Source organism: Homo sapiens, chromosome 11 (assembly GCF_000001405.40).
Source record: "Homo sapiens chromosome 11, GRCh38.p14 Primary Assembly".
Taxonomy (NCBI): domain Eukaryota; kingdom Metazoa; phylum Chordata; class Mammalia; order Primates; family Hominidae; genus Homo; species Homo sapiens.
In genome coordinates this window covers 134735832-134763811 of record NC_000011.10, presented here as the reverse complement: position 1 = coordinate 134763811, position 27980 = coordinate 134735832, and the positions used below count along the sequence as shown (strand labels likewise).

The window sequence follows — 27980 nt, the reverse complement described above, 5'->3', positions numbered from 1 at the left end:
TAGAGAGTGCACATTTATTTAATTGTGGATGACACGGCCTGTTATGGGTCACTAATAGATTGGATTACAAAATAAAGATTCAAAAATAATTCAGAAAACATAGGCCAAAGTTGATAACACTGGCAGCTACAGGGATAAACGTAGAGTCATTTACTGAACACACACTGTGGAGGGCACCAGGGTTTCGGGACCCACGCTCGTGCCTGGGGTCGAGAGAAGCTGATATTTGAGCTGAGCTGTCAAGAAACAAATAGTTTTTTTCTGAGAGAGAAGAGCACACGGCGCTTATGGAAGAGATGGCATGAGCCAAGTTGTGGAGGGACAGACAGAGCTTCTGGGGGAAGATGGAGCAGTTGATCTACTCGTTTAAATGTGCGCTGAATGTCAGCCGTGTGTCAGGCAAGGGCCGCGTGCTAGGAACACAGCCCTGAGCAAGAGGACCTCACGTTTTGAGAACAGATTGGTGTTAATTGCCGTAAAGTAACTGAGGAGCAGAGTGAATGAACAGTGCGAACCGGGCCTACATTAGACAAACAGGGCTCAGGAAAGCCACCACCGCCGCCGGCTCCCAGGCCGCTCCAGGAACCCACTCAGTCCTGGCAAATCAGGGTAATGAGTCACCCTGGCAGAGAAGGCTTCTCAGAGCAGGTGGTAGCTGAGCAGAGACCTCACTGATGGGGCAGGTCAGCTGAGCTCGCCAGAGGCCTGTGGAGAGCTGCGGGGCCGAGGGGCGCGCTACCCACGGCCGTTCTCACTCTGTTACCTCTCTCTGGAGACCCCGGCTTCTCCCCTGAAGGCCTGGGGGCCTCACCCACGGCCTGGCCCGGAGAGCGGTCGTGATGAGGATCAAAAGAAGCAAGGCTGTGGCTGGGACAGGGCACTGCTCGGAGGCCCGCCCTGGAGGCAGGCGGCCACCAGCCTTCTCTCTCCTTCCCGCACTTTCTCCGGGCCCCGGTCGCAGGGACCAGCGGGCAGCCTTGGCTCTGGGGCGCCCTCCTTTCTCCCTGCAGCCCCAGGCGGGCTTCCGGGGGCTGCGCTTCCTCCCCAGCCAAGGACAGCGCTCACCCGCCCCCCAGTCCCCACGCACCAGCTGTGCAGCCGCCGCCGCCTCTCTCGTCTCCGTCCAGTGAGTTCTCCGCACTGCAGAGGGCGAGATCCCGAAGGCCTGGATCCGCGCAGAAGCAGGGAGCACCTTCCATGGCCGCCGCCATCCTCAGCACCGTCCCGCGGCTGCCGCCATCCTCAGCACCGGAAGGAAAACCAGGCCGCCGCCATCCTCAGCACCGGAAGGAAAACCAGGCCGCCGCCATCCTCAGCACCGGAAGGAAAACCGGGCCGCAGCACGGCCTTGTTGGGCTCCCTCCGAGCTCTCTGCCGCCTTCATGATCCAGCCCCGGTCTGACCCCCGCCTCCTTTCTGGCCTTTGTTCCACCCCCTGTCTGAGCCTTCCCCAGTCCGGACTCGAGGCCGCTCTGTGCAACTCCACCCTTCGCTACCCCGCCTGGTCCAGCGGATCCGCCCCCAGCCTCTCCAGGCCGGCGCCTCCTCTACCGGGACTCAGCTGCGCGCTCCTCAACGGGCCTCCCCGGCGGCGTCTGCGCTGCTGGAGTCGGCGTCCGGCTCCTCCCGAGTACCGGGGCTCCTGCGGGCTCCGCGGCCGGCTGTGCTGGGCCCCTTCTGCTCCCACAGCTGGGGAGTGGCCCCTGCCTGGGTGCAGGCCATGGCTCCTAGCCACTCTGACACGTCTGTGGCAGCATTTGGGATGCCCAGGCTGCTTTGTATTCCTCTTTACACAACCTTCCCAGCCACAGTTAGCTCGTACCCTGGCGTCTCGAGGCCTCCTGAGGCCTCCCTGGCTCAGTTTCTCAGAGACTGGTTGGGGTTTGAACCAAGTGAAATCTGACCCTTCGAGATCTCTGACTCAGCCATTCGTTCACTCGGCAACCACTTATTGATCATCTACTGGGTTCTGGGATGGAGAACTGCTGATTACTGAAAACCAGAAAGGTTTCCAGGAGTGATGTCTAAGTGACATGAAAACATTAATTCAAGCAGAGGAAAGCAGGACGCATTAATTATCACATTGCTCTGCCACCGTCAGGCCCTCTTGTCGGGTCAGCTTCACTGTGCATCTGGCAGAGGTGGGGACTTTTAAATGAACTTACTAGAGTAAGTACCAATTAAAGCATTAGGGGGACTTAGCGTTGACAGCTTGCAGCTGGCTTGTTCCCGGAGTGAGTATTAAGTTAGGCATTGCTGTGCTGCCGAAATGCTGTGCGCAGAGCCTGCTGGGCCACCTGTGACCCGAAGAGCGGAGGACCGGGGCCTGCCACTCCATGGGGCCAGGCCAGAGGCAGGTCTGCAAGAGGGGTCGGTCTCACGAGAAGGAAGTGGCTTTACTGCTCTCAGATCTCACTATCCTCAAGTGAGGACTTTATTTCTTGGTCCTTAAGTGTTTTACTTAGGTTGACTTGACTGCTTTATCAAACAACTCTGATTGCCAGTGGTTTAATACAATGGCAGTTCATTAGTCCCTCTCCATATTGCTCCTGTAACAAAGAACTAAAACACAACTTTATTATCAAGTTATGGAGGCCAGAGGCCTGACATGGGCCTTGCTGGGCTGCAATCAAGGTGTCTGCAGAGCTGGCTCCTGTTCGAGGCTCCAGGAGATCCCGTATCTTTGCCTTTTCCAGCTGTTAGATGCTGCGGCAGAGGCCTTGGCTTGTGGCCCCTTTCTTTCCTTCAAGAAGGAAGGGAGGAAGGGAGGGAGGAAGGAGGGAAGGAAAGAGAAAAGAAGAAGGGAGGGAGAAAGGAAGGATGGAAAGAAGGAAGGAGGGAGGGAGGGAAGGAGGGAGGGAGGGAGGGAGGGCAGGCAAAAAGGAAAAGAAAGAAACATTATAAATAAAAATTAGTTTTATAACAGTAAGTATATTTAGTGCAGAGAATCACAACTAATTACTAATTTAAGAAAACTGGCCAAGAAACGTCATAAAACCAAGAAAATAACATTACTTAAGTTAATCAAATATCTGACACTTTTGCTAACGTTTTTGATTGTTCGTTTGGCTAAATACTCTTTGATTACTTAATCCTACAACAATGATTTTGTAAAATAATTTTCCACAACCAGGACAGAAGATAATATACTCCTTGTTCTAGCGTGGTTAATTTGCTTACTTTTTGGAGTTTGATAAATTCATTATTACTAAATGATGTACATTTTTCAGATTGTTGCGAAATTAGGGGAACCCTCCATGACCTTCCTGCTGTGCACAGGCCGAGCTCTGGTGCTGAATCCTCAGTCACATTGGAGGCGATGGCTCACACGGGGCCCTGCTGTGCACGGGCTGCGCTCTGTGCAGTGCCAAGTCCTCAGTCACATTGGAGTCGATGGCTCACAAGTCCTCAGTCACATTGGAGTCGATGGCACACACAGGTCCCTGCTGTGCACGGGCTGAGCTCTGCGCACTGCCAAGTCCTCAGTCACACTGGAGTCGATGGCACACACAGGTCCCTGCTGTGCACGGGCTGAGCTCTGCGCACTGCCAAGTCCTCAGTCACACTGGAGTCGATGGCACACACTGGTCCCTGCTGTGCACGGGCTGAGCTCTGCGCAGTGCTGGGTCCTCAGTCACACTGGAGTTGATGGCACACACGGGGCCCTGCTGTGCACGGGCTCAGCTCTGAGCACTGCCAAGTCCTCAGTCACACTGGAGTCAGTGGCACACACTGGTCCCTGCTGTGCATGGGCTGAGCTCTGTGCAGTCACATTGGAGTCAATGGCACACACGGGGCCCTGCTGTGCATGGGCTGAGTTCTGTGCAGTGCTGGGTCCTCAGTCACATTGGAGTCGATGGCACACACAGGTCCCTGCTGTGCACGGGCTGAGCTCTGCACGCTGCCAAGTCCTCAGTCACATTGGAGTCGTTGGCACACACGGGGCCCTGCTGTGCATGGGCTGAGCTCTGCGCAGTGCTGGGTCCTCAGTCACACTGGAGTCGATGGCACACATGGGTCCCTGCTGTGCACGGGCTCAGCTCTGAGCACTGCCAAGTCCTCAGTCACACTGGAGTCAATGGCACACACTGGTCCCTGCTGTGCGTGGGCTGAGCTCTGTGCAGTCACATTGGAGTCAATGGCACACACGGGGCCCTGCTGTGCACGGGCTGAGCTCTGCACACTGCCAAGTCCTCAGTCACATTGGAGTCAATGGCACACACAGGTCCCTGCTGTGCACGGTCTGAGCTCTGCACACTGCCAAGTCCGCAGTCACACTGGAGTCGATGGCACACACGGGGCCCTGCTGTGCATGGGCTGAGCTCTACACACTGCCAAGTCCTCAGTCACATTGGAGTCGATGGCACACACAGGTCCCTGCTGTGCACGGGCTGAGCTCTGTGCACTGCCAAGTCCTCAGTCACATTGGAGTCGATGGCACACACCTGCCAGTTTCTCACGGGTGCCCTCGTTTTGTAATTTACTGTTTTATCTGATCTTTATTGATAGCAACATATCTAGTCAACTCAGAAAGATATTTATGCTCTTCCCACAGATGGTTCCTAACTAATGATCTCACAATCCAAGAGTTTATCTGTCATTTGCATTAGACGTATATGTCTTTACTATACTCTACACTTGAGTGCCTGCAAACCACATAAATATACCCACCAAACCCAAACCAGGTAGAGTTTATTCAGACTCTCCATGATTAGCCCCCAAATCCCTGCAGCTGCCCCAAACCCTCAGGCCTGGAGGGGAAGTGGGGGAAGGCAGAGTGCAATGTCAGGCTCGGAGGGGCTGGATGCTGGTCACCACAAATTCTGCAGTCTTTCCTCACTTTGTGGTCCTGGGTAAGCTGCATAAACTGGCTGCACCCAGCATTCTCTTCTCTGTCATGTGTGGCCATTCAACGTTACATGGTGCAGTGAGAACCAGATGAGTGATGTGTGTGGAAGGCCCTGGCTTGGTTTGTGGCGCATAGTAGGTAATCAATGAATAATGACTTCCACACACCCCTCTGCAACTGTCTCTTCTAGTGATTTCATCAGAGCTTCCTAAAGGAGCTTATGATTCTTTCTTGGGCTGGCCGCCCTGAGGGCAGTGCTCTGCAAACAGGGAATGTTTCTGCTGATGTGAAAGTGATGCCGGATACCTGGCCTTCCACCTCCATCAGCCTCTTGTTGACCAGCTGTCTTGGAAGCTTGGCTGGGGGACCCTCCAGATGCCACAACCTTTCAGTGGAGCACTCTGACTCCCAGGGGACCCTCCGGGGCCAGGCATGGGAAAGAAGCCCCTGCTGAACCTGGAGAGCAGACGGCTTGTGCCTGTGCCGTGGATTCAGGATGCCGCCAGGCCCACTGGGCACAACAGAGACACGTGCTCTCCACCTGTCCCTAGCAAGGGAACAGGGTCAGGGACAGAGAGCAAGCACAGAAAACTGCAGTGACTTCACGGTGGCTGTTTGCTTTTGCATGGACACTTACAGCTCAGGAAAGCATCCCGTGATGCTGTCTCACAGTAACTCACAAAGCTCAGTGAGCTGGTAAGACACGTGCTATTACTCCTGTCTCACAGAAGGAGGAAGGAGAGGCTCTGGAAGGGAAAGAACCAGGTGGATGTGTGGAACTGGGGGAAGGGCTGGGACTTGAGGTGCAGTGAACCTACCCTTCTTGCCTTTCCTCCCTCTCCTTTTACCCCTCCCCTTGCCATGCTGATGGACCCTCAGACCTTGACACATGGAAACAGAAAGTTCTCTGCAACTTAGAGGTTCTCAAGGAGTTCTCAAATGAGTGTCAGCAACACCTGGGAACACTGATAGAAATGCAGATTCTCAGGCCTCGCCCCAAAGTCACTAAGTCAGAAGCCTGGGCATGGGACTCAGCAATGTGTGTTTCAACAACCCTTCCAGGTAACCCTGATGCATGTGAGGTTTGAGAGGTCCTGCTGGAACTGAAGCAAAACCTCATGTCCTCTGAGGCCCAACATGAGAAAAATTCCAAAAAGACACCGTGCTAAGGTTGCAACAGTCAGAGCCAGCCTTGTCTAGGTCCCCTCCATCCCAGAATTCTGTCATGTTGATTCCTGCATCCACCAGCTTGTTCACCCCTGAGATTATGCTGATCATAGGCTATGTCAAGGGCCCAGGTGTCAACAAACCGCCCTGTCTTTGGTTTTCTACAGCACAGTTGTAATAGACCAAGACTTTCAGAAAGACCCTTCCTTAAATGCTTGCAAAGTGAAGCATAAAGTGCTAGAGAAACTATAGAGGGCACAAAGACAGTGGAAGGAACTCCCTACCCTTCTGTCCAGCCCTGGCCTGCTCAGTGGCCACCACCAGACGCTCTGAGCTCTGCCATGCTCCAGTTCTTTCTCTGCACCCCCCTTTCCAGAGCTGGGAGGGTGTGACACAAATCAATCCCCTCAGTACTCCTGGAGACACCAAGGGCAGGGTGGGGCCAATGACAGCCTTGAGAGGCAAGACACACCCACCTCTTCAGAGCAGGTAAGCACATTTGAGCTCCGGAATGCCCCCCTTCCTCCACCTCGCAGGCGGGGTCAGGCTGCTTTCTTTACCGAAGTCTGTGTTTCCGAACTCACACCTTCATGGGGATCCCTTGTCAAGGGGGCCTCTGCTCCTGCTCTCAGCTCAGTTCCACCTTCTGACCTCACTTTGCCCAGCATGACCTCACTCTGTCCACTAATGCCAGCCTTTGATATTGGGCATCAGCTGCCCTGTGTGCCTATGACCCTGCGTACACCAGCTCTGTCTCCCTCAGTTGGATGGCAATTCCTTCTTGTGTTTTACATCTGTTTGTATCCTCTGAAGGTCTAGTGAAGTGGTTTTCAGCACTGGCTACCTATTGGGATCACCACGGGGAGCTTTTAAGAAATATCACGTCTGCAACTTAGCCACAGTTATTCTGAGTCAATTGGCCAAGTGTGTGGCATAGAGATTTGTACTTTTAGCCATGCAAGCATGACAAAGAATCACTGGCTGACCTCTTGGACGTATACTAAGGCACTGAAAAATATTTACAGTAGCTGCTGCTAATGATAATGGTGATGACTACCACATATGGAAACCTTAGTATGGGAATGCACAGGATCAAATATTGTGACTGTGAATGGAGAAATGAGCTTAGATCCCTCCTGTGGTGGTGGAGGAAATGTAATGCTTTTCATGCTGAGGGGAGTCAGGCAGGGGTGCCTGCTTGCTCAGTCAGGGCCCTAGAAGCCTCCCTTCCTTGGGGTTACCCTTAGCAGCCATGTTCCTGCACTCAAGCACTTGGGAAGCAATGCCATCAGGATGACGCTCTGATTCTGAAGTGAAGATTCTAATTTGGAGAAGGGGTCTATCAGAGAGCTCTGGGCACTGGAGTAGTTTAGCTGATGAGACAGAGGGAGCTTCAGAAAATGGACTCTTCCTTTCACCACAGTGCTTTCTGGAGGCAACACTGCCAACGCCCACAGCAATAACATTTGTGAGTGATCTATAATTTCCAAACCCTCCCTCAGCCAAGAACTTGATCTCCCAACATCAAAAGGCAAATTCTTGCCCCACTTTTACAGATGAGAGCGCTGAACTTAAACTGGATTCGAGTGCATTGCATAACTAGTAAGTCCTTTGGTGTGGCCTATTTTCCTCCTTTCTCTCCACCACATTGTTACTAGATTGTAGCAGAACACCACACACAAGGAATGTGTTACTACAGAGCAAAAATGTGGATTCTGCTTGATACACACTTTTACAAAAGAGGAAACTCTGCTCTCTGGGATGGATAAGGTGAAATTCTCCCCCAACATAACGAGGGTGGCACATGTGTCCTCCTAGTCTTTTTCTGACTGTGACAGTCTAACTACAATGGTCTTAACAACGAGAACTCCCAAAACTCTGGGTTTGTCCAGTGACCATCAGCAGCGGGTATTGTTGCTGGGGAAGTGGGTCACAGACACCTTGGCATGCCATGCCCTGCCTAGGACACTGCTGCCTCGCCTCCCCAGTCACCTGATTTCCTTGTGATATTCTTTGCATTAAATGATACAAATGAATTCACACACGAAAGAAGACACTGCAGGTAAATTCATAGCTCCACGGCTTGCCTCGCCTTCCTCACAAGGCCCCACTCAGTGTGCTGACTCTGAGAGGAACCGTTCAGCAGCCGTGGGGAGCTCTAATGCTCCAGAACCCAACCGTCCCCATGCTCTACCCAAACCTTGGCCTGGTCATTCATCCACGGGACACTTGGCTTGAAGCACCCAGTGCCCCACTCCATCCTGTCCCTGTGCTGGGCATCCTGCTCTAAATAGACAGGTCTCCCTGTCTCTAGACCCATCCAATCCATCCATGCGCTGCTGCCTGGAGCACTATTCTGACCACACTCCCCTAGTTCCAAGTTCTCCCATGATTCCCTGTTGCTGATAGAATCAACCTCATTAAACAAGGTCTTCACAGACCTGCCCCAGTCCAGATGCAGCATGAGCAGGGCTAAAGGTGCAAACTCTGGAACAGGAGCCAGTCTGGATCCTGGATCTGCGTCTACTAGCCCTCAGCTCCGAGCACGCTATTTAACTTCCCGTGCCTCATGTTTCTATCTGTGAGGCAGAAGCTGTCACAGAACTCATCTCACAAAGTTTCAGAATTGCCAGAAGCATTGCCTACGAAGCACAGGGCATCTCTTAGCATCCCTGCACCCCAGCATGCACACACACAGCCCATACACAAACACGTGTGCATGCATGGCTGGCCCATTCCTGGCCCCCGGTTCTCCCTGCACTCCCCACAGATGCTCCATGGTTTCCGGGGTGCGAGCTTCCGAATTCAGGTTGTGTCCCTGTAGACACACTGCTTGTGCTGCACACTGGGCAGCCTAATCTAAAAACCGTGCTGTTTTCTTCATCAGAGGGTCAGATGGCCCCAGTGAGGAGGACTCAGCCACCCCTGAACACAGATTTTGGGTCCACGCCGGGAAGTTACAGAGGTCCTAAGCCCGTCACCTTCCCTAGGGATGCTAGTACTGAAACTTATGGATGGTACAATTGCAGTGAATCTTCTGGGACCTCTTAAGCCACTGACGTGCTTCTTTGTCCGCAGAACAAAGACAAGCATTGTGCAGTGCGTACACCCAGGCTGGCCGCGACCTTCCCCACCCAATGTCCAGGCTCCAGGGATGACTACATCCTCAGTTCCAGGTGGGTGGAAGCCAGGTGGCTGCAGCAGGCGGGATAATGTCCCCGCCCTAATCCCCAGGACCTGTGAAGACACTGCTTTAGACCGTGAGGCGCTGTGCAGATACAGGTGGTGCTAAGTCCCTGGAGATGGGGGTACTCCTGGATGTCCTAGTTGGGCCAACTGGATGCGGTCATATGATGGCGGAAGTGGAGGGTAGAAGAGTGTGTCAGAGGCCCTTAGTCCTACAACAAGCAACTGAATTCCCCCAGTGACCTGAATGAGCAGAAGGAGCAAGGAAACAGACCCTCAGCACCCTCAGGGAGGAATGCGGCCCTGCGGGCACCTTGACTGGAACCCATGAGACCCACGTCCAGCTCTGATGACAGAACTGTCATCTTTGTGTTGTGTTAAGCCACTCTGTGCCATAGAAAGCTGAGGTAGGGATAACATGAGCCGGGGCTGTCACCAGTGGGGATGCAGGCCAGGGGATGGCAGAGGCCGCTGCAGCACTGGCAGGAAAGCTGTCTCAGTGCAGACTGAGCTTGGGGGAGGAGTGGGATGAGACGGCCTTGGAGGTGCTTGAGAAAGTGAGTGTGAGGGAGAGACAGGTCAAGGGCAAGCCCTAGGCTTCCTGCAGCTGTTACGGATGAGACTGACGGCCTCCATCCTACCAGGGGACCGCTGAAAGGGCCAGGTTTGGGGAGTGGAGGTCCACACTCAGCTCCTGGTGCCTTGAGACACCCTCCCCCAACCCCAGACAGGAGGCTGAGTGGGAGTTCCATCCACAGCGCTGCCTGGCAGGATGCAGAGCTCCTCCTGAGCTGCTCAGCTTGAGGCTCTCGGCAGCCGCTCTCGTCTCCTCCGTGGCAGCAAAGAGGCCAGTGCCCAGCGGTGGGAAAGGTGCCTGTCTGAGAGTTTCACAACAACTTTGAGAAGATTCTATCAGGTAAGGAGAAGGATTGTGGGCAAATAAAAAGCAAAAGCAAAAGAAGCTGACACCCTCAGGGCCACTGAACTGACAGTCCCCCGGGCAGAAGCTTGTCAGGCATTTGGAGGAAGTCAAGTCCTGCTCCTTGTGAGGCAAGAAAGGTCACCTCCAGGACACTCTGGGGAGACACCTGCCCTCTGCGATGGGGAGACTGATTTGAGGATAACTTGGAACCATCACAAGACCATCTTCTCTCGCCTTGGTAATAAGCCATATGTCCTCTGGGAAGCTTTGCCTCCTTGGGCTTGGGTGGTGTTGGGCAAATCTCCAAGGAGAGGAGTGAGAATTGGAGACTATTTTTGTTTCAGGAACTAGAGAATTGCAGATGCTCTGGCACTTTTAAAAGAATCCATCAAGAGAGGAGGATTATGGGCAAACGAACCTTCAAGGAAAGACTCTGGCTTACTGTGGCCTGAAACTGATGCCTTGGTGGCCCGCAATGCTGGCTTTACCGCAGTTGCCCTCCCTAGAGGACACTGCCGCTCCTCGGAGAGCCACCCTCCTGCCTGTCCCTGCTCGTTTCTGCAGCAGTGTCCCCTCTCCATTCACCCGTGGGGCCTCTGCTGCTGCTGATCCCTTTTAGAAGTCCTGCAGCAGGAACGTCTTCATTTTCAATTCTGTTTCTTCCCAAAGGCATGTTTCTTTGAAAAACAGCATTACCGGGGCTGAAGATGAGTTTTAAAGATGAAGCAATATCCTCCAGGATGTAGAAATCCTTCCCACTTGGTCTCCACAGCACTCAGCTCTCAGAGCCCCCCAGGATGGCCCAGGCCCAGAGGCCCACAAGCTCAAGGTGGAGGTGGCCTTCCCCACCCTGACGTCCCAGCTCCAGGGATGGGCACATCCTCAGTCACAGTGACCAGGTGCTCAGAGAAGTGGGAGAGTTCCCCAGCCCTGTGGCCATACAGACAGGTGTCCAGTAGGGAGGTAGAGGACAAGGCCACGGCAGGAGGCCATTTCCAGGGCCTATAGAGGAACAGACAGCCACGGCATAGGGAAGTCGAGTATGTGTTGAACAATGGCCTTAGGTGAACGGGCAGCCTTTCCCAAAGAATCTGTCCTTGAGGTATTATGTGGGCCAGAGGCAGAATTTGGAACCTCGCATCTCTGGTTGGAGTTAAGAGTATAAAATAATTAGAAACCCTGGTTCGGCTCCACATCAGCCTTTGCAGTCCACCCTGAAGCTTGGCCAGTGGTCAGATGCCCTCTCCCTCCCTAGCGTGTGAGGGTCTTCAGGACAAGGACATAACCGTATCCCAGAGCGTCTCCAGTCAGGCTCCATCCATGACTGAAAACAGCAACACATTTTAGAGTTGAAGGAGCAGCCCATGGCTCAGTCACACTGCATGGTTTCTTTCCTCATGGTGACTATTTTTCTGTTACTCTCTCAAAAAAGCAGTGAAGTGAATTTAAAGATAACTGCAAAGGGTTGCACAACCCCCCATGGAGAGGTGGGACTGCGTCCCCTGCCCTGTCCTGAGCAGACGATGAGACAGCTCAGCCAGTGGAGAATGGTAGAAGTGACCGTGTATCTGTTTTGCTGCCCAGATCTTAAGGAGCTCTTATTGTAGCCAAGTCCAAAGCTCACACCGCCTGCTGCATGACAGTCAATAAGTTCAGAGGCAAAGTGCTGGGGCAAGAAAGATGATTTTATTCTAGGAGTCAGCAAAGTGAGAAGACGGTGGACTAATGCCCTGAAGAACCATCTGACGCTGATACATTTTTAGGCTCCTTCTATGTTAGAGGACAAGCAAACAGGGAACGGTTAAGGTGCGGAGGTGACAGGTGACCTCTGGATGTCAAAAGGGGCCTGAAGAGGTTGCAAAACTCTTTTCTCTTTGCTCCTGGTCTACTACTTGTCAGATCCACCTTGTTCCTGTAAATCTTTAAAATAGCACTGTTGTGTGTGTGATTCTTTATGTCCTCGGGGGTGTGTTTCAACAGAGAGACAGTCATTAGTGCCAAAGTTAAACTGCAATCTAAATTCTTCCCGTGATTAGCTTGGTCTACATGCAGGAATGAGCAAAGGCAGTGGCTTGTGAGATCAGAAGCAAGATGGAGTCACCTATGTCAGATTCCTCCCGCTGTTCCTTTGGCTTCCACTTCTGGCTGTTACGGTGATTGCTCTCAGAATGTTTCCTCAGGATCACTCTTTTTCTCCCTGGGAGTACAATGCTCTGAGAAGCCCAAGACTCACGTGAAGGCCACAGGCAGGCTCTGGGATTGAGTCCCCCGGGCCCAGCCTTCTATCCTCACCAGGCACCAGGCACATGAGTGGAGCCGCCCTGAGCCCCATTCCAGACCATCCTCCACTTCATGCCTCCAGGGACCTCTGTCAAAGCCATGTGGATCAAAGCAGGGCCTCACCAAGCACGGCTCGAATGCCTGACAAAATCATGACGTGTAATAAAATGTCTCTTGTTGTAAGTCATTAACTTTTGAGGTAATGTGTCACATGGTGCCACTTGATTTTAGCAGCAGGTAACTTACTCACATGGGTTGAACTCTGCATTTCCATAGGCTTCTGCTGACAGCCTAGTGGTCAGGCCACTTGGGATTTAGGCTCCTATTTCCCTTCTTTTCCTTACTCAAAATTGACTTTTGTTGCCAAGCATGCCATAGCATTTCTGTGGAGAGCAGTTCATCAGCTGGGTCCTGTTTCACTGACATTGCAGGTAGTTATGAAGAAATCAAATGTGGTAGAGGAGAAAGGAGAAAAGTCCAGAAGGTTTCTGCTCCCCATTGCCCGGGGCACATAGGGTCTGTGAGATTGGAAACTCAGACCCCAGACTTCTCACCCAGGAGATAGGACATGCAGGCCCCACCCCTGCCATCGTGGCTCTCCAGGTGAGGGGACAGGACCTGAGTACACAGGCTCACCTTGCACAGCCTCATGACATCTCTTTCAGAAGCCAAAACTGAGAAGCAACATTGAGGCAGCTAACTACTCAGATATTTTAGCCACATCCTGCAAAGCAGTTGATTATTTGGGAAAAGCCAGGTAATTATCTCAAGTTTTACTTTCTCACAGAAATGTGTTGGAAAAGTCACCTCCAGCCCTTGCACTACCTTCATCAGGGACCCCACCAAACCTGCCATAATGAAAGACTGGACTCTGTTTCCACAGCAGCAGAGCTGCCCTTCTCACACTGCCACTGCCAAAACAGAGGGGTGTGTTTCTCTCTGTCAAAAATATTATGGTAACATTTCAATAGCCAAGAGAATCTGGGTGTCAGGGGTTGGCTTCCTCTGACACTAGCAGGTGATGTCTGTTGGCAGAATAGGGTAAGAATGAGTTTCTTCCTCCCAAGGGGACTGCAGAAACTGCTGTCCTCATGTCACACATCATGCAGGGCACTCAGCATAGCTTCCTCAAGAAGTTTCATCATAACCTAAAGATGCAGTGATTTTCGAATCCAGCTCATGAAGGAACTGAAGGTCTGAGAGGCAAAATCAGGACTAAAACCCAGGTTTTCACCTCCAATACCACATTGCCTTGACTCACACCTGGCTGGCCATAACACCATAACACCACCACCACCAACAAACCAGCTGCCATCTTAGCCCTCACCTCCTTGACTGTATGGCAGTAGAGAGCCTTACTCACCTCCTGGACTGTATGGCAGTAGAGAGCCTTACTCACCTCCTGGACTGTATGGCAGTAGAGAGCCTTACTCACCTCCTTGACTGTATGGCAGTAGAGAGCCTTCTGACCTGGTGCTGACTCCTTGGCCCACCTTGCCAGGCCACTAGCTTCACAGAGCTTTCCTATAACTCCTAGGACCCAAAAGTAGAGCCTTTACACCAGCCCAGAGTGACTGTTTTCTGGATCAGAGGGGACCAAATGACCAGCTAGGGTAAGTCAAATATATTAGATGAAAAACTTCACAGTAAGAAATAAAGTATGAGTGCTGAGTTCCTGGAAAGACTCCAGCTGCCTGCAAGGGGAAGGAACAAGTCTCTTTCTATTGAGATTGATTCTGATCTGTCAGTCTCCTTCACACACATCAAGGGTCCTGAGGGGAGAGCCAGTATTAACATTGCTAATTACTTGTTAAAATGTACAAATGGTCCTGGGGACAAGCTTATCTGCATGTGAATTAGGTGTCCAGAGTAGTTATAATCACTTAATTATGTGCTTGTGAGGGGGAGAACAGAATTTGAGACAGAAACAACAGGACTGTCTCAGGTTACTGGGATGTGTCTAAACTGAGGAGGTTGGTGGGGTCCAGAGCCTCAGGAGACAGATCACCTCACATTGCAGAACAATTAACGTTCTGCTACTGAGGGAAAGAACTGTCTGATGAACACCCAGGATGGGCCAGGGGGTGGATAGGGACCCGCAGCATGGCTGAGTAGTCACTGAGAAAATTGCAGCTGTTTAGGAACACATGAGGGAGGAGCTGCAGGAGGGAGCCTCTTAAACGTCCCTGAGCGAAGATTACAAGAGTGAGAGGATTGTAGCCTGGCTGAGTCCACCTTGCTCTAGCCTCACAGGTGGGCTGCCCTCGCTCATTCCTGGGCACAGGCCAAGTTAACCATGGGAGGAATTAGTTTACAATCTAATGTTGAAGCAAGAATGATAATAGTCCCTCCCTAACTCTGACCCCCTCCTTGTTTGGTAACTAAAACTGTCTTTGTAAAACGAAGAAAGGGCACAAGATTAGGATTATGGGAGAGCTCTGAATTCTGCTAAGATGCAGGCATAGCTTGCCTTTCTATAATCATTTACTCCACCAGAGATCACAAGGTTTGTGACTTCCCCAGGTGCTCTTATAGATAGCATCTCTGTTGTAGAACCTAAGATTTGTCTTTCAGGATGTTTTTTAACCGTTTGCATCCTGGCACCACCCAGACCCATGACTCATGATTAATTAGTCCTGGGCACCACCCAGGGGCAGACTCAACTCATGAAGATCATTTTCCACACCCCTGTGATTTCATCCCTAGCCAATCAGCAGCACCCATTCCCTAGCCCTCTGCCCACCAACTTACCCAGAAAAACCCTAGCCTCTGAGTTCTGGAGGAGGCTGATTTGAGTAATAAACTCCAGTCATTTCACTTGGCCAGCTCTGCATTAATTGGATTCTTTCTCTACTGCAATATCTGTTCCAGTGAATTAGTTTTGTCTATGCAGCTGGCAAGATTACACTCACTCCTGAATGGAAACACCTGGGAGGTAAGGCAGAAGGACTGTTTCTCTTCTCCAACTTCACCCCTCCTCCCCCATCTGCTTGGACTCCATGGTGTTCCAGGAGCCCCTTACATGCACGACCATGGCCCAGATAGCCCAGAAGGAACCTCAGAGAAATAAGGAAAACAGCCACTCATGAAGCAGATACAGCCCAGCCTGCCATGTGTGTGGTAGGAGGGACAGTTAAGGGTCCTTTTGTAGCCTTTCCTGGAGAAGATAATAACTCACCTGCCCCCTCAATACTGGGACTGTGTTTTAGTTTTCTGTTTATCTTAAACACTTTATAAAGGGGTAGAAATGCTGTGCTTCCAAAGAAGGCTTCAGAATGCCTTTGGAAAACCTGTTGAGCCATGCTGTTATTGTGTAAGACAGTGATCCAGCATCTTTTTCTCAGTGCTGTAGCAAAGAGGAAGAAAAACGAACTCAGAGATGTGGAGGCATGTGAGACCTGAAAGAGTTTGTGGCAGTCAGCAAAAGCCAGCCCAGAGTCCCATAGATCTCAGCTAGTTCATCCGATTGAGGCTGTAGAAACTGAAATACAGCCCTCTCTTCTCGTTATGAAACTGGGGACAAATACATCAGCCCATTTTCCACAAACTGTCTTATAAGAGGAGAGAGAGGCCTGAGAGTGCAAATCCAGATTTTTTTAACCAAAATAATTTCCTAGATTCAGTGTATCCCAAAGAAAAATTTCAGCATGATTTTTGTAGACCAATGAGCTGTCTGTAAAATTCTTATAGGAACACAAAGGACTAAGAATAGTCAAGATGATCCTGAAGAAAACAAACAAAATTTTAAAATATGACCAGCCATCAAGCCATGTTATATCAGACAACATGCCATTCACCCAAGAGTGTTAAAAATATGACCAGCCATCAAGCCATGTTATAAGGCTAAATTAATTCAGACAACATGCTCTTCACCCAAGAGTGAGCAAACGAACCAATGGGATAAGACATAAAATTAAGACAAAAGTACACACATGTAGTATCACCTAGTTTCTGACAAAAAATAACACTGCCCTGCAGCTCAGGAAAGGATAGTGTTTTTCATAATCTGTACTCAGACAATGCCTGTGTGTGTCACTTACATCATCCCATTTGCAGAAATCCATCCCAGATGGATTGCAGAGGCAAACATTGTAGATATCTCTAAGACTTTGAAATAGGAAAGTTTCTTCAGTAGGACACAAAACAGACTAACCATGAAAGAAATAAAATTAAAAATTGATAAATCAGACTCTATTAAACTAAAGCTTCAGGCAATGGCGGAGTAACATATCAGACTAGTCCTTCTGACAAAATAATCAAAGGCATTGAAAGACACACACAGAGGTTTGAAGGCATGAAAGAGGATGGCGAAGCAGGCAGGAGCTGGAGTACTACAGCACAGGACGTCACGCTGGGTGCGATCACCATGTATCCAGCTTTACACCAAGGATACACTCCTACTTTACACAGACATGGAGAATACACCTCAGGAAGAAAGCAGAAGTTTCTTGGAAGTGAAGAGTTGGAAGTCCATTGGGAGACAGTTCTCCATGGATTTCTGACACTTCATGTATTATAAGCAAAACAGTGATCACCATTGTTCCAGACAATCTTTTCAAGAATGTGTGTACAGCAAACAACCTTGGATGATAAAAATAATGTCATCTTTCAGAGCAAAGGGCAGGCGTCTTATTGCCCAATGCAATGAAGATAATGTCTCTCCTGGAACAAAAGACAGGCATGGTTAATCCTATTATAAAAGTTTCCAGTTCCCTCAACTCAAGAGTTCTGAGTTCTTCTCCTGTAATACAACGTACAGCATGTGAAAATGTCATCTGGCCCTTTTCACATCATCCTGTGGAAATTGGAGCTCATGGAAGTAGCACAAAATGCCACAAAAAAATATTCTATCTACTGCTTTTGCTGTGAGTAATAAACTGTCCTTTGTTTCTGACCCAGGAGTCTCTTGTTTTCTACCACCATCACTGAAAATGCGGTAGGCTACCTTGTTAGCTTCCCTGTAGGGTAAAGTCTCAGATCCTTCAGTTTCTGACAGTTGTAGTAAAGAGGATGGGATGTTGACCACAACATGGCTTTCTGTAAAAGAAACTATGAGGACCTCAAAGGTCTATTAATAGGATTTAAGGGAAGTCCGTAGAAATCAGTAGGAAACATGTTCACTAAATTGTATAATTGACTGGGAAATAAACAGTCCTTCCCACTATTGCCTGTTAATTAAGGAGTTGTTCCCTTTTTGCTGGTGCAGATCTTTCTTCTCTTTCTATCACCCCAGTGCCTCCCTAACCCTCTCCCCAGGCCTCAGTTGCTTTAAAGAAAAAGACTATTAGAAATGAGCCAGTCTCCCTGCCCCAAGGGCAACTGAAGGTCCTAGGCACCAGCATGCTGGGGAACTCTGGGGCTGGAAAGTACTCAAACCTTTCTACTGATATTGGTGCAGGTACAAAGCCACCATTCTATGCAGTCCCATGGTTAAAAATTTGAGGGAAGACCGAAGGTCAACTGAGTGGGTTTGGACCAAGTTTATGGTGGACAAGGGAAGTAAAGTGATGTTGTGAGTGGAGGCACAATCTCCACTAACAATAACTCTAAGCATGATTTTAGATGTTTTCTTTTCCTTCTCAATCTCTTTGGGTTTCAGTTATCCTAGTTAGTAAGTAGTCAATGTCTACTGAACTCCTGCTATGTATCAATGCCAAACTGGAAAAGTAATGCATGCCTTGATTCACACAACTGTCATGATGCAGAAATGAGATAGATGTGAAAATGCTCTGGGAAAGAATGTGTGTAGCAGAAAGGAACTACAGTGGGCTCTGGGACGGGAGGTTTAACAGGGTTCTTGGCCAGCAAATGGTGCTCTCCATATGCCGAGGCAGGGAAGAGCTCCCCAGCCAAGCCTGTTCCCAGTGGATGTTGCGGAGCTCTTGGTGCCTTTGTCCATGTCCTAATCAATCAGCAGTGACACCCCATGACCTGCTTCCCCCCCCTGCACACTACAGGTAACTGTCACGTAGCATGTGATGAGAGGTGACCTGTCTTACCCAAAATCTTCTGTGCCAGAGCCTCCACTCAGCCCTCTTCAGGCACTTTATCCCGAGATGTGCCTGGCAGAACCGAGGAAGCAGAAAGGAAACAGCCTTCCCCCCACCAAAAACAAACAAATGAAAAGAAAAGAACAAGAAGAAAACAAGTTTTAAAATCAAACTGCATGGGGAATTTCACCAGAAAAGTGAGGGCAGGTGATGCGTGAGGAGTAGGATGGCCATAGCAAATAAATTTCATTATTGATTTATGTATTTTCGAATAATTCTGAGGGAAAAGTGACTATTTGGGCCTGTTGAGTTGATTTTCGATGTCATACTATGTGTGAAATTATCTAGTCATGAGAAGAGAATAAATAATGCTCAGATTTTCTTGCCAGTGATAACAGCACACCATGCATATTGAAAACCATGGTAATTTGATAAGAACTGTCACATTCCATGCCATGGTTATTTCTTGTCCCTACTTCTGTGTGTGTGTGTGTGTGTGTGTGTGTGTGTGTGTGTGTGTGTGTGTGTGGTGGGGGGGAGGTTCTGGCTACCCTTCTTGCTATTTTTCTTAATCCTTCTTTTGTGTGGCTATCCTACATTTCTCCCTGTCCCTGTCTCTCTCTCCCATTCCCTCCTTCTCCTCCCGCTTCCCTCCTCTCTCTACCCCCTGAATCTCCCTCTCCCTCTTTCTCTCTCTCACTCCCTCCCTCTCTTCCCCCTTGCCTCTTCTCTACCCCCTCTATCTCCCTCTCCCTCTCTCTCTCTCAGCAGTTCCCGATGCCCTCCCTGCTTCCTTCCAAAGCATCTTCACTCTGTCCATCCACTTCTCCAGCTTGTTCCTTCTCTCCTTTGCTCTCACTTCTCGTGGCTGACCTTTGTCTCCCACCTATACTGTCTATCACCACTTTGCTGACCTGTCCCAATGGCACCACATGTCCTAGTGGACTCTCCTTGCTCCTGTGGAGAGGAGACAGGGGTGGCACAAGCCACCCTAGAGGCCTGAAGCTGTGAGCTCTGAGAGCAGGTGCTTAGCTGGGAACAGCTCGAGGCAGCAAATAGCCCCCAGGGCCAGGGATGACAGGAAGGACCTCAGGTCCACGAATTCCACTGTAATTGCTTTCCTGATGAAAGGTACAACCAAAAGCTACCCTTGGAGTGAGGGAAACCACTTTTATTCAGAAAGGAGCTTAAATCTTCCTCAAGCACTGAGCAAGGACTTTTCCCATTCAAAGATACTTCATAGTGTCTTGTGGAAAGGTAAACACCCACATTAGGTTCTAGCATCAGCCTTACCATTTATTACCTCAGGATTTCCATTTTCTTAACACAGAACCAAGGAGCATGCTCACCAGATGTTACAAAATGGTGGCCTCCACCCAGATCTAGACTGCAAACGCGGTGTATGGCATCACATCCAGGGTGAAGCTGAATGCTTTCTGTAAGCCATGTGGAGTCCAGTGGGCACAGCATCCGTTACTCTTTACTGTTTAATTCACAGCAATTTAATACCCTTACACTAGGCTGTGCCCGCAGAAGACCAGAACCCTGGTGAGAGGAAGGGTGTTATTCTCCCTGGGATGGGGAGGAAATGGTGGGAGACAGGGGGAGAAGACAGGGCTATGGACACACTTGGCTCAGCTGCTTGGAGGACCTTGCCGGGGAGTGGAGTTGCTGCCGCACCGCAGAGCTGAGCCTGACTTCCAGCCTTCTGAGCCAAAATATCTTAATCAGATCTCAAGGGAATCAGGAGGAAAAAAAGGCATCAGAATTTCTAATTTTGCTGTGCCAAGCATATTCCTGTTTATGTGAGAAGTCAGAACGCGGAACATAAGAAGGGAGGATGATTCGCACAGGACAAGGAGAGTGGTGCAGAATGAGGAGGCAGAAAGGGGAGGCTGTGGGGGGCACCTCGTGAGGACAGCTTCTCACCAGTGGAACCCTTGAGGTCTGGAGGAGAAACACAGTCAGGAGGGGAAGGGCAGCTACTGATCTTCCTCTCAGACACGTGCAGCAGCCACCAGCCACCAGCAAGAGCACAGGATCCACAGGCAGCAGCTTTGTCTACTTTGTGCCCAGTGATAACCCAGCACCATCACACAGGGCCTGGCAGTCACTCATCCAGTAAATATTATTGATGACCGACTAAATTGTGAAAATAAGTAATTCAAAATCTAAGCTGCTGGCACTCTAAATTGTTTTGAGACTTAAAGGAATGTAAGGGGCCTGAGTCACGTGACAGGCAGCTGTAACCTTTGTTTCTCTGATTATAGATTAGCCTTAGTCCTCACATACACTGTTTGGTTAAACGTTGCAGATAACTAAAGAGCACAAGGGGCAACCCCCTCCCTCTTCACTGTTGACCTTCATCATAGATTATCTTCTCCCTTATCTTTCTCACACAAAACTTCATGATTATCACAGTGTCGAAGATGAAACATTAAATACACACTTTTAAATTGGAAAGGAAATGAAAACCAGTTGTAAAGGAAATAAAAAAAGACCTAAAGAAAACAAACTAATTAAGTTACTGTGACTCATAAACCAGCCTTGTATAAAAAGTTATAATCCTGCTAAACCTCTGTTCTCTGCCTATGTAAGCAAGGACTTAACATTTAACTTAGAGCCCTGACCCTATTTCTCTGGAGTCTTTGTCTCCCATCCCTAGCTTTTCACTTGCATAAAAGCTTTAAACTGGATTCTGGTATTTTTGATTATTTTAGGTTAACAGAACAATATCATATACATCTGTTTCCCCAGCACCTGTCATGCGAAAATAATTTAACATATTTGTGCACAGATGCTTGAGTGTTTTTAAAAAGTCATATGTAATAAACCTTTGGAAGCCACAGACCCCAGTGCCTCTGAGATGAGACTGGCATGTGGTAAGGCTGTGAGCCTAGGAGGCACGCGTTTAGAGCTTCAAGGATGTTAGTGGTTTCTTTCTGACACCAGATCTCAGCAAGCTTCACTCCTGGCACTAGGAGCCTCCATATTTAGCATTGCCGGAGAGGATGACGATGGTGGTGATGAGCTCAGAGAGTTAACATCTCAGAGGTTAAAAACCTCACTGCTGGCTACACAACAACGTGAATGTACTTAACGCTACTGAACTATGTACCTAAAAATGGCTAGGATGGTAAATATTCTGTTATGTGTATTTTACCAAATTTTAAAAACAAACAAACCACTAGTTGATGGTGGAATGTCAAATCCAGCACTTTCTGATTCCAAGGCCCACATGGTATTTCTTGCCTCTGGGATGTGGCATTTTCAAGCAGCCTTTTTATCACATATCCTAAATAAAAATGATCTCTTCAGAAGTAAAATAAACAAATATTCTCATCCCACCCTGGTATGGCAAGACCTGGAAATAGAACAAGCATCTGTGGAATTTCCCTCTAGATAAGACATTGTCCGCCCCTTTTAAAAGCTGATCTGAACTGGAGGCAGAGCTTGCGTGTTGAATTTGGAAGACTTACATCAGTCCTCAGGGTTGCAGGCAGCGTTGAGTACAGCACACACTACTCCGGCCTGACCTGTCCCTCCTCTGTGGCCAGAGAGGGTGGGTTGTCAAACAGGAGGTAAGGATTCCTCTGGGTGCTTCTAAGAGCATCTATTTTATTTATTTTTTTATTTTTCCATAAGTTATTAGGGGCACAGGTGGTATTTGGTTACATGAGTAAGTTCTTTACTGGTGATTTGTGAGATTTTCGTGCACTCATCACCCAAGCAGTATATGCCGCACCATATTTGTAGTCTTTTATGCCTCGCCCCCTCCTCTCCTCCCCCCAGGGAAATGCAAATCAAAACCACAACGTGATGCCACCCGGCTCCTGCAAGAAAGCCCATAATCAAAACATTAAAAAACGGTAGATGCTGGTGTGGATGCATTGAACAGGGAACACTTCTCCACTGCTGGTGGGAATGTAAACTAAAACAGCCACTATGGAAAACAGTGTGGAGATTCCTTAAAGAATTGAAAGTGGAACTACCCTTAGATCCAGCAATCCCACTACGGGGTACCTACCCAGAGGAAAATAACTCAATATTCAAAAAAGACGCTTGCACTCACGTGTTTATAGCAGCACAATTCATAAGAGCATTTATGTTAGAAAGGAGCTGAAGCATGATGATCTGCAGGCAAGCAAGGAGTTATGGGGGAAACTAAAATGCTCCAAACACAGGGGAGAAAAGGCCCAACAGAGAAGACAATTTCCCCATCATAGGATGGCAGGGTTTATGCATCCTACATCCTTTAATCTCCAGCACCACCCTTGAGGCACGTGTGACTTTTATCACCGTTTTATTGATGCCATAAAGAGTCAGTGGTAAAAGGATTTTCTGAAGGTACCACTGACATTGTTCTGAGTCCTCCTCGTCCTAGTCCCTGTCAAGGCCACGGTGCAAAGGTGCCTTCCATGACCCTCATACGTGTCTTCAAACATGCTCACACAGACAACCACGCTCAAAAGCCGTCCACACATGCACCACACACAGCACAACACAGACACACACACCAGACACACATGCAGCAGACACACCACATGCACCACACGGCAGCACCTCCATACCACACACTGTACACACACTACACACCACACACAACCCACACACACCATGCATCACACACACCACACACACACCACACACTACACACTACACACAACCCACCCACATCATGCATCACACATACCACACACACTACACCCCACATACACCATACACACTACACACTACACACACCATGCATCACACATACCACACACCACACACACTACACCCCCCCACATCATACACGCTACACACCACACACCACACACAACCCACATGCACCATGCATCACACATACCACACACCACACACCACACCCACACACACTACACACTACACACAACCCACCCACATCATGCATCACACACACCACACACACTACACCCCACATACACCATACACACTACACACTACACACACCACACACTACACACACCACACACACTACACCCCCCACATCACACACGCTACACACTACACACCACACACAACCCACACACACCATGCATCACACACACCACACACACTACACTCCACACACACCACACACACTACACACAACCCACCCACATCATGCGTCACACATTCCACACACACTACACCCCACATACACCATACACACTACACACACCATGCATCACACATACCACACACCACACACACTACACCCCCCCACATCACACACGCTACACACTACACACCACACACAACCCACACGCACCATGCATCACACATACCACACACCACACACCACACCCACACACACTACATACCACACACAACCCACAAACACCACATACACACACCGCACACACCAAACACATACTATAAACACCATTGACACCACACACACACCAAATACACCACACACCACACAACCACACATCCACACCACACACATCAAACACAACAAATACACACCACACAAACTACACACACTACACACCACACGCACCACATACCTCGCACACCACATGCACACTACACACCAAACATAACCCACACACACCACTCTCGCACCAAACACTACACACCACACAAACCACACATCCACACCATAAACACCAAACACAACAAATACACACCACACACAGCACACACACTGCACACACCATACCCACCCACACCACACACATCACCCACACCAAAAACACACCACACACCACACCACACACACCACACTCCTGCACATCATACGCAACACATACCACAAACACCACACACCACACACATGCCACACACCAAACACAACACACCACACACACTACACACATACACACTTATACATAGACCACCCACCATACACACACCTTACACACACTACACACACACAACACATACTCACAAGTACACATCATACGGTGCCTTAAAAGTAGCAGGAATGAGGTCAGGAAGACAGGCTGTGCCGCAGCACTTGGTAAAGAGGGCACAGGCTCTGCCCGCACCCAGGCAGTCCACCCATGGAGGTGAGGGGTGAGGGAGACAGTCTCCGGGAGCGGCCTGTCGGCCTTGCTGCTTCTGGCTTCCTAAACCAGTTCCTCTTATCAACCCTGCCTCCGCCAGCTCCAACCCAAACCACACGCAGACACACACAGACATAAACACAGACACACAGGCACACACAGACACATAGGGACACACAGACACACTGCCACACATAGAAGCACTGGCACACACAGACATACAAACACGCACGCCCACACACAGACACGTATAGACTTATATGCATACAGACACACACACACACACAGACATACACAACCTACAGATATGAACACAGACACACAGAGAAAGACATAGATTCACAGACATGCACAGAGAGACACACAGACTCACACAGACACGCACAGAAAGACATAGATTCACACAGACACGCAGGGAGAGACACACAGACTCACACAGACACGCACGGAGAGACACACAGACTCACACAGACATGCACGGAGAGACACACAGGCTCGCACAGACACTCACGGAGAGACACACGGACTCACACAGACACGCACAGAGAGACACACAGACTCACACAGACACGCACGGAGAGACACACAGGCTCGCACAGACACGCACGGAGAGACACGTGGACTCGCACAGACACGCACGGAGAGACACACAGACTCGCACAGACACTCATGGAGAGACACACGGACTCACACAGACACGCACAGAGAGACACACAGACTCACACAGACACACACGCCATCGCTGTGAGCTCAAGGAATGCTCATTTTAATGTTGATACAGGCATAATTCCATTAGGAGGCAAATTTGACGATAAAGATCAATACAGAATGAAACCAAATCTAAATGTCTTCAGGATGATTTTTTTTGTCCGCAGAGCACACACTCTAATGGCACAGGTCACGCTGCCTAAGGACAATCTCACACCTCTGGAAGAAATGGGGTCTAGTGATTGACAGTGGGAGATTTTAAGATGTGTGGCCCTGGACAAGTCGTTTTACAGGTTTGTGGCATCAGTGAGTGGGAGGAATCCAGGTGCCTCCAAGGCCGTCCTGGGGAGTAGGTGATGGAAGACCTGTGAAAGAGGCAGGCAGACCCTGGCAGGAGGCGCCACTTCATGTTCATTCTGACCACACTCTTTACACCCTTCTGGCTTGAAAGTGGGGAGGAGGGAGCCTGGGCCTCATTTCTCAGGATTTTCCCCAAACTCCCAGGATGTGAACAGTAGGCGGGAAAGCCTCAGGGTGGAGCCCAGGCCTGGGGTGAGGGTGCAGCTGCCTCACGAAGCAGCTTAGCCTTCCACGCGCTTTGCCCTCCCTCTGAGCTGAGAAACTCACTCAGGCTCAGGCCCACCAGCTCCTGCCTCACCTCAAAGCCCAGCGTTCTGCCGTGAACAGCACCAGGAACTTCAGAAACCTGCATTCCACAAGCATGACCCTAGACGTGTGCCCCTCATTCAAGGAAGATCAGGGCGGGACAAATCAGCTAGGGGATGTCAGGCACCATCCCAGGGGCCTGGGGAGAAAAGAGGGGGCACCAGCCATGGCACATGGCTCCCAGGGCAGCAGGAGGGCTGGGAAGGCATCTGCCCTGTGCCTGGGCCTGCAAGTCCTGAGGACAGGCAACGGGTCCACACACGTGGCCTCCGGGACACCTGTGCTCGAGGGATGGTCATGCCAAGAACCCTCCTCCAAGGTGGGACCTGGGGCAGGGACCCTGTGAGAGCCGTGGTCCCTGCCAGACCCGGTGCCATCAAGGCTGTGCTCTGCTGAGCCTGAGGCTTCGGTATGACTTTGCCTGTCCCTCCCAGGAGATCCCACAGGTGATGACCGCCTGTGCCTCCTGTCCCTCCCAGGAGATCCCACAGGTGATGACCGCCTGTGCCTCCTGTCCCTCCCAGGAGATCCCACAGGTGATGACCGCCTGTGCCTCCTGTCCCTCCCAGGAGATCCCACAGGTGATGACCGCCTGTGCCTCCTGTCCCTCCCAGGAGATCCCACAGGTGATGACCGCCTGTGCCTCCTGTCCCTCCCAGGAGATCCCACAGGTGATGACCGCCTGTGCCTCCTGTCCCTCCCAGGAGATCCCACAGGTGATGACCGCCTGTGCCTCCTGTCCCTCCCAGGAGATCCCACAGGTGATGACCGCCTGTGCCTCCTGTCCCTCCCAGGAGATCCCACAGGTGATGACCGCCTGTGCCTCCTGTCCCTCCCAGGAGATCCCACAGGTGATGACTGCCTGTGCCTCCTGTCCCTCCCAGGAGATCCCACAGGTGCTGTGGTTGTGCTGATGGAGGAGTGGTGACAGGGACGCAGGCAGAGAGGGGCAAAGTCTCACAGGGGCAGAGGGTGTCTGTGCCAGGTGGAGGGGCCTGGGGAGGAGATGGAGTGGCCTCTCGTGGAGGGGCAGGTACAGGAGCCAGGCAGAGCCCAGGGACAGGCCCATGCCAGCACCAGCCTGGGATGTGAAGGGATGACCTCAGGGCAGAACTCTCAGTGCAGAGCTCAGCACAGAACAGGACACCATCTGGGGAGAGTGGAGGTGCCGCTCATGTAACTGAGCACTGAGGACAGAGGACACATTCCCAGGAGCCTTCTGCTGGAGTCCACACAGGGGAGGGAGGGAGAGGGGGAAGTGCCCTTTTTCTTGTTTATCCTGTGATTCCATGGCTCACTGCCGTTTCCACAGCCTTTCCACTCCCCAGAAAACTGTGCAGCTCCGTTAATGATTTTCTCCAAGACCTTGCAGCTGATAACTGAGCCAAGGCCCAGTCCTGGACTCTGACTTCAGGATCCCACATGGGCTCCCGTGTACCATGAAGCCACCCGGATGGCCGTGGACAGACCCTTCAAGAGACACTTACCGCTGCTCTTCATTGAGTTCCAGCTGCAGTCCTCAAGGGGGATGAGGGGCATTTGTCCCCACCCTCAAGGGACATTTGGCAATGTCTGGCGTCGTTTCTGGTGGTTGCACCTTGAGGAGGGGCGCATATGCTCCTGGCATCTGGTTTTCTAGTGGGGAGGCTGGGGATGCTGCCAAGTGCCCTCCAATGCACACAGCGGCCACGGTGGAGACTGCAGCCTGAAAAGTGGGTGGTGTTGAGGCCGATACTCTGGCCCACCACGATGCCATGTCCTCCCTCTGACAACCACAATCAGGAAGACTTCTTCAGCTCGTCCTTGTGCCCCCAAAGTCCTCGTTCCCACGGGCCCCCAGGAATGGTTCTGGGAGTCCTTCGTCGCTTTCATGGGGGTGGTATGAGGCACTCCAGCTTCGTCGTGCCTTGTCTGCACCTTGTTCCCAGCACCGTCCTTCCTGAGCCCAGGGAGTCAGAATCCACAGTCTTAGAGTCTCCACCAGCAACATCTCAGCTCAGCTGAGGGTCATTCCTACTTTCAGAACAGGCTGACAGTGGGGCAGCCAACCACTCTGCCCACGAACCCCAGTTCTCCGTCGCTCACCACTCTGCCCACGAACCCCAGTTCTCCGTCGCTCACCACTCTGCCCATGAACCCCAGCTCTGCGTCGCTCACCACTCTGCCCACGAACCCCAGTTCTCCGTCGCTCACCACTC

General features: G+C 50.6%; 1 long non-coding RNA gene across 1 annotated transcript, besides 3 other annotated features; it reads right to left on the bottom strand.

Annotated features, from left to right (window-relative positions):
* Positions 1-27867, bottom strand: LINC02714 (long intergenic non-protein coding RNA 2714). Its single transcript, NR_147836.1, has 2 exons — positions 27270-27867; positions 1-2738 (listed from the first exon to the last, which is right to left on the bottom strand). It is a non-coding gene; the product is annotated as a long intergenic non-protein coding RNA 2714 (long non-coding RNA).
* Positions 14043-14724: an enhancer, noted in NCBI's record as "NANOG hESC enhancer chr11:134618982-134619663 (GRCh37/hg19 assembly coordinates)". NCBI's record gives its function as "activates a minimal SCP1, AML or CMV promoter by ChIP-STARR-seq in naive H9 embryonic stem cells {active_cell/tissue: H9 hESC(naive)}" and the evidence as "EXISTENCE:reporter gene assay evidence [ECO:0000049][PMID:30033119]".
* Positions 14761-15960: an enhancer, noted in NCBI's record as "BRD4-independent group 4 enhancer chr11:134617746-134618945 (GRCh37/hg19 assembly coordinates)". NCBI's record gives its function as "activates an origin of replication core promoter dependent on BRD2, P300/CBP, MED14 and CDK7 cofactors, and independent of BRD4, by STARR-seq in HCT116 cells {active_cell/tissue: HCT116}" and the evidence as "EXISTENCE:reporter gene assay evidence [ECO:0000049][PMID:35650434]".
* Positions 20523-20817: an enhancer, noted in NCBI's record as "tiled region #2456; HepG2 Activating DNase matched - State 5:Enh". NCBI's record gives its function as "activates a minimal TATA promoter and a strong SV40 promoter by Sharpr-MPRA in HepG2 cells {active_cell/tissue: HepG2}" and the evidence as "EXISTENCE:reporter gene assay evidence [ECO:0000049][PMID:27701403]".
* Positions 27868-27980: the final 113 nt, after the last annotated feature.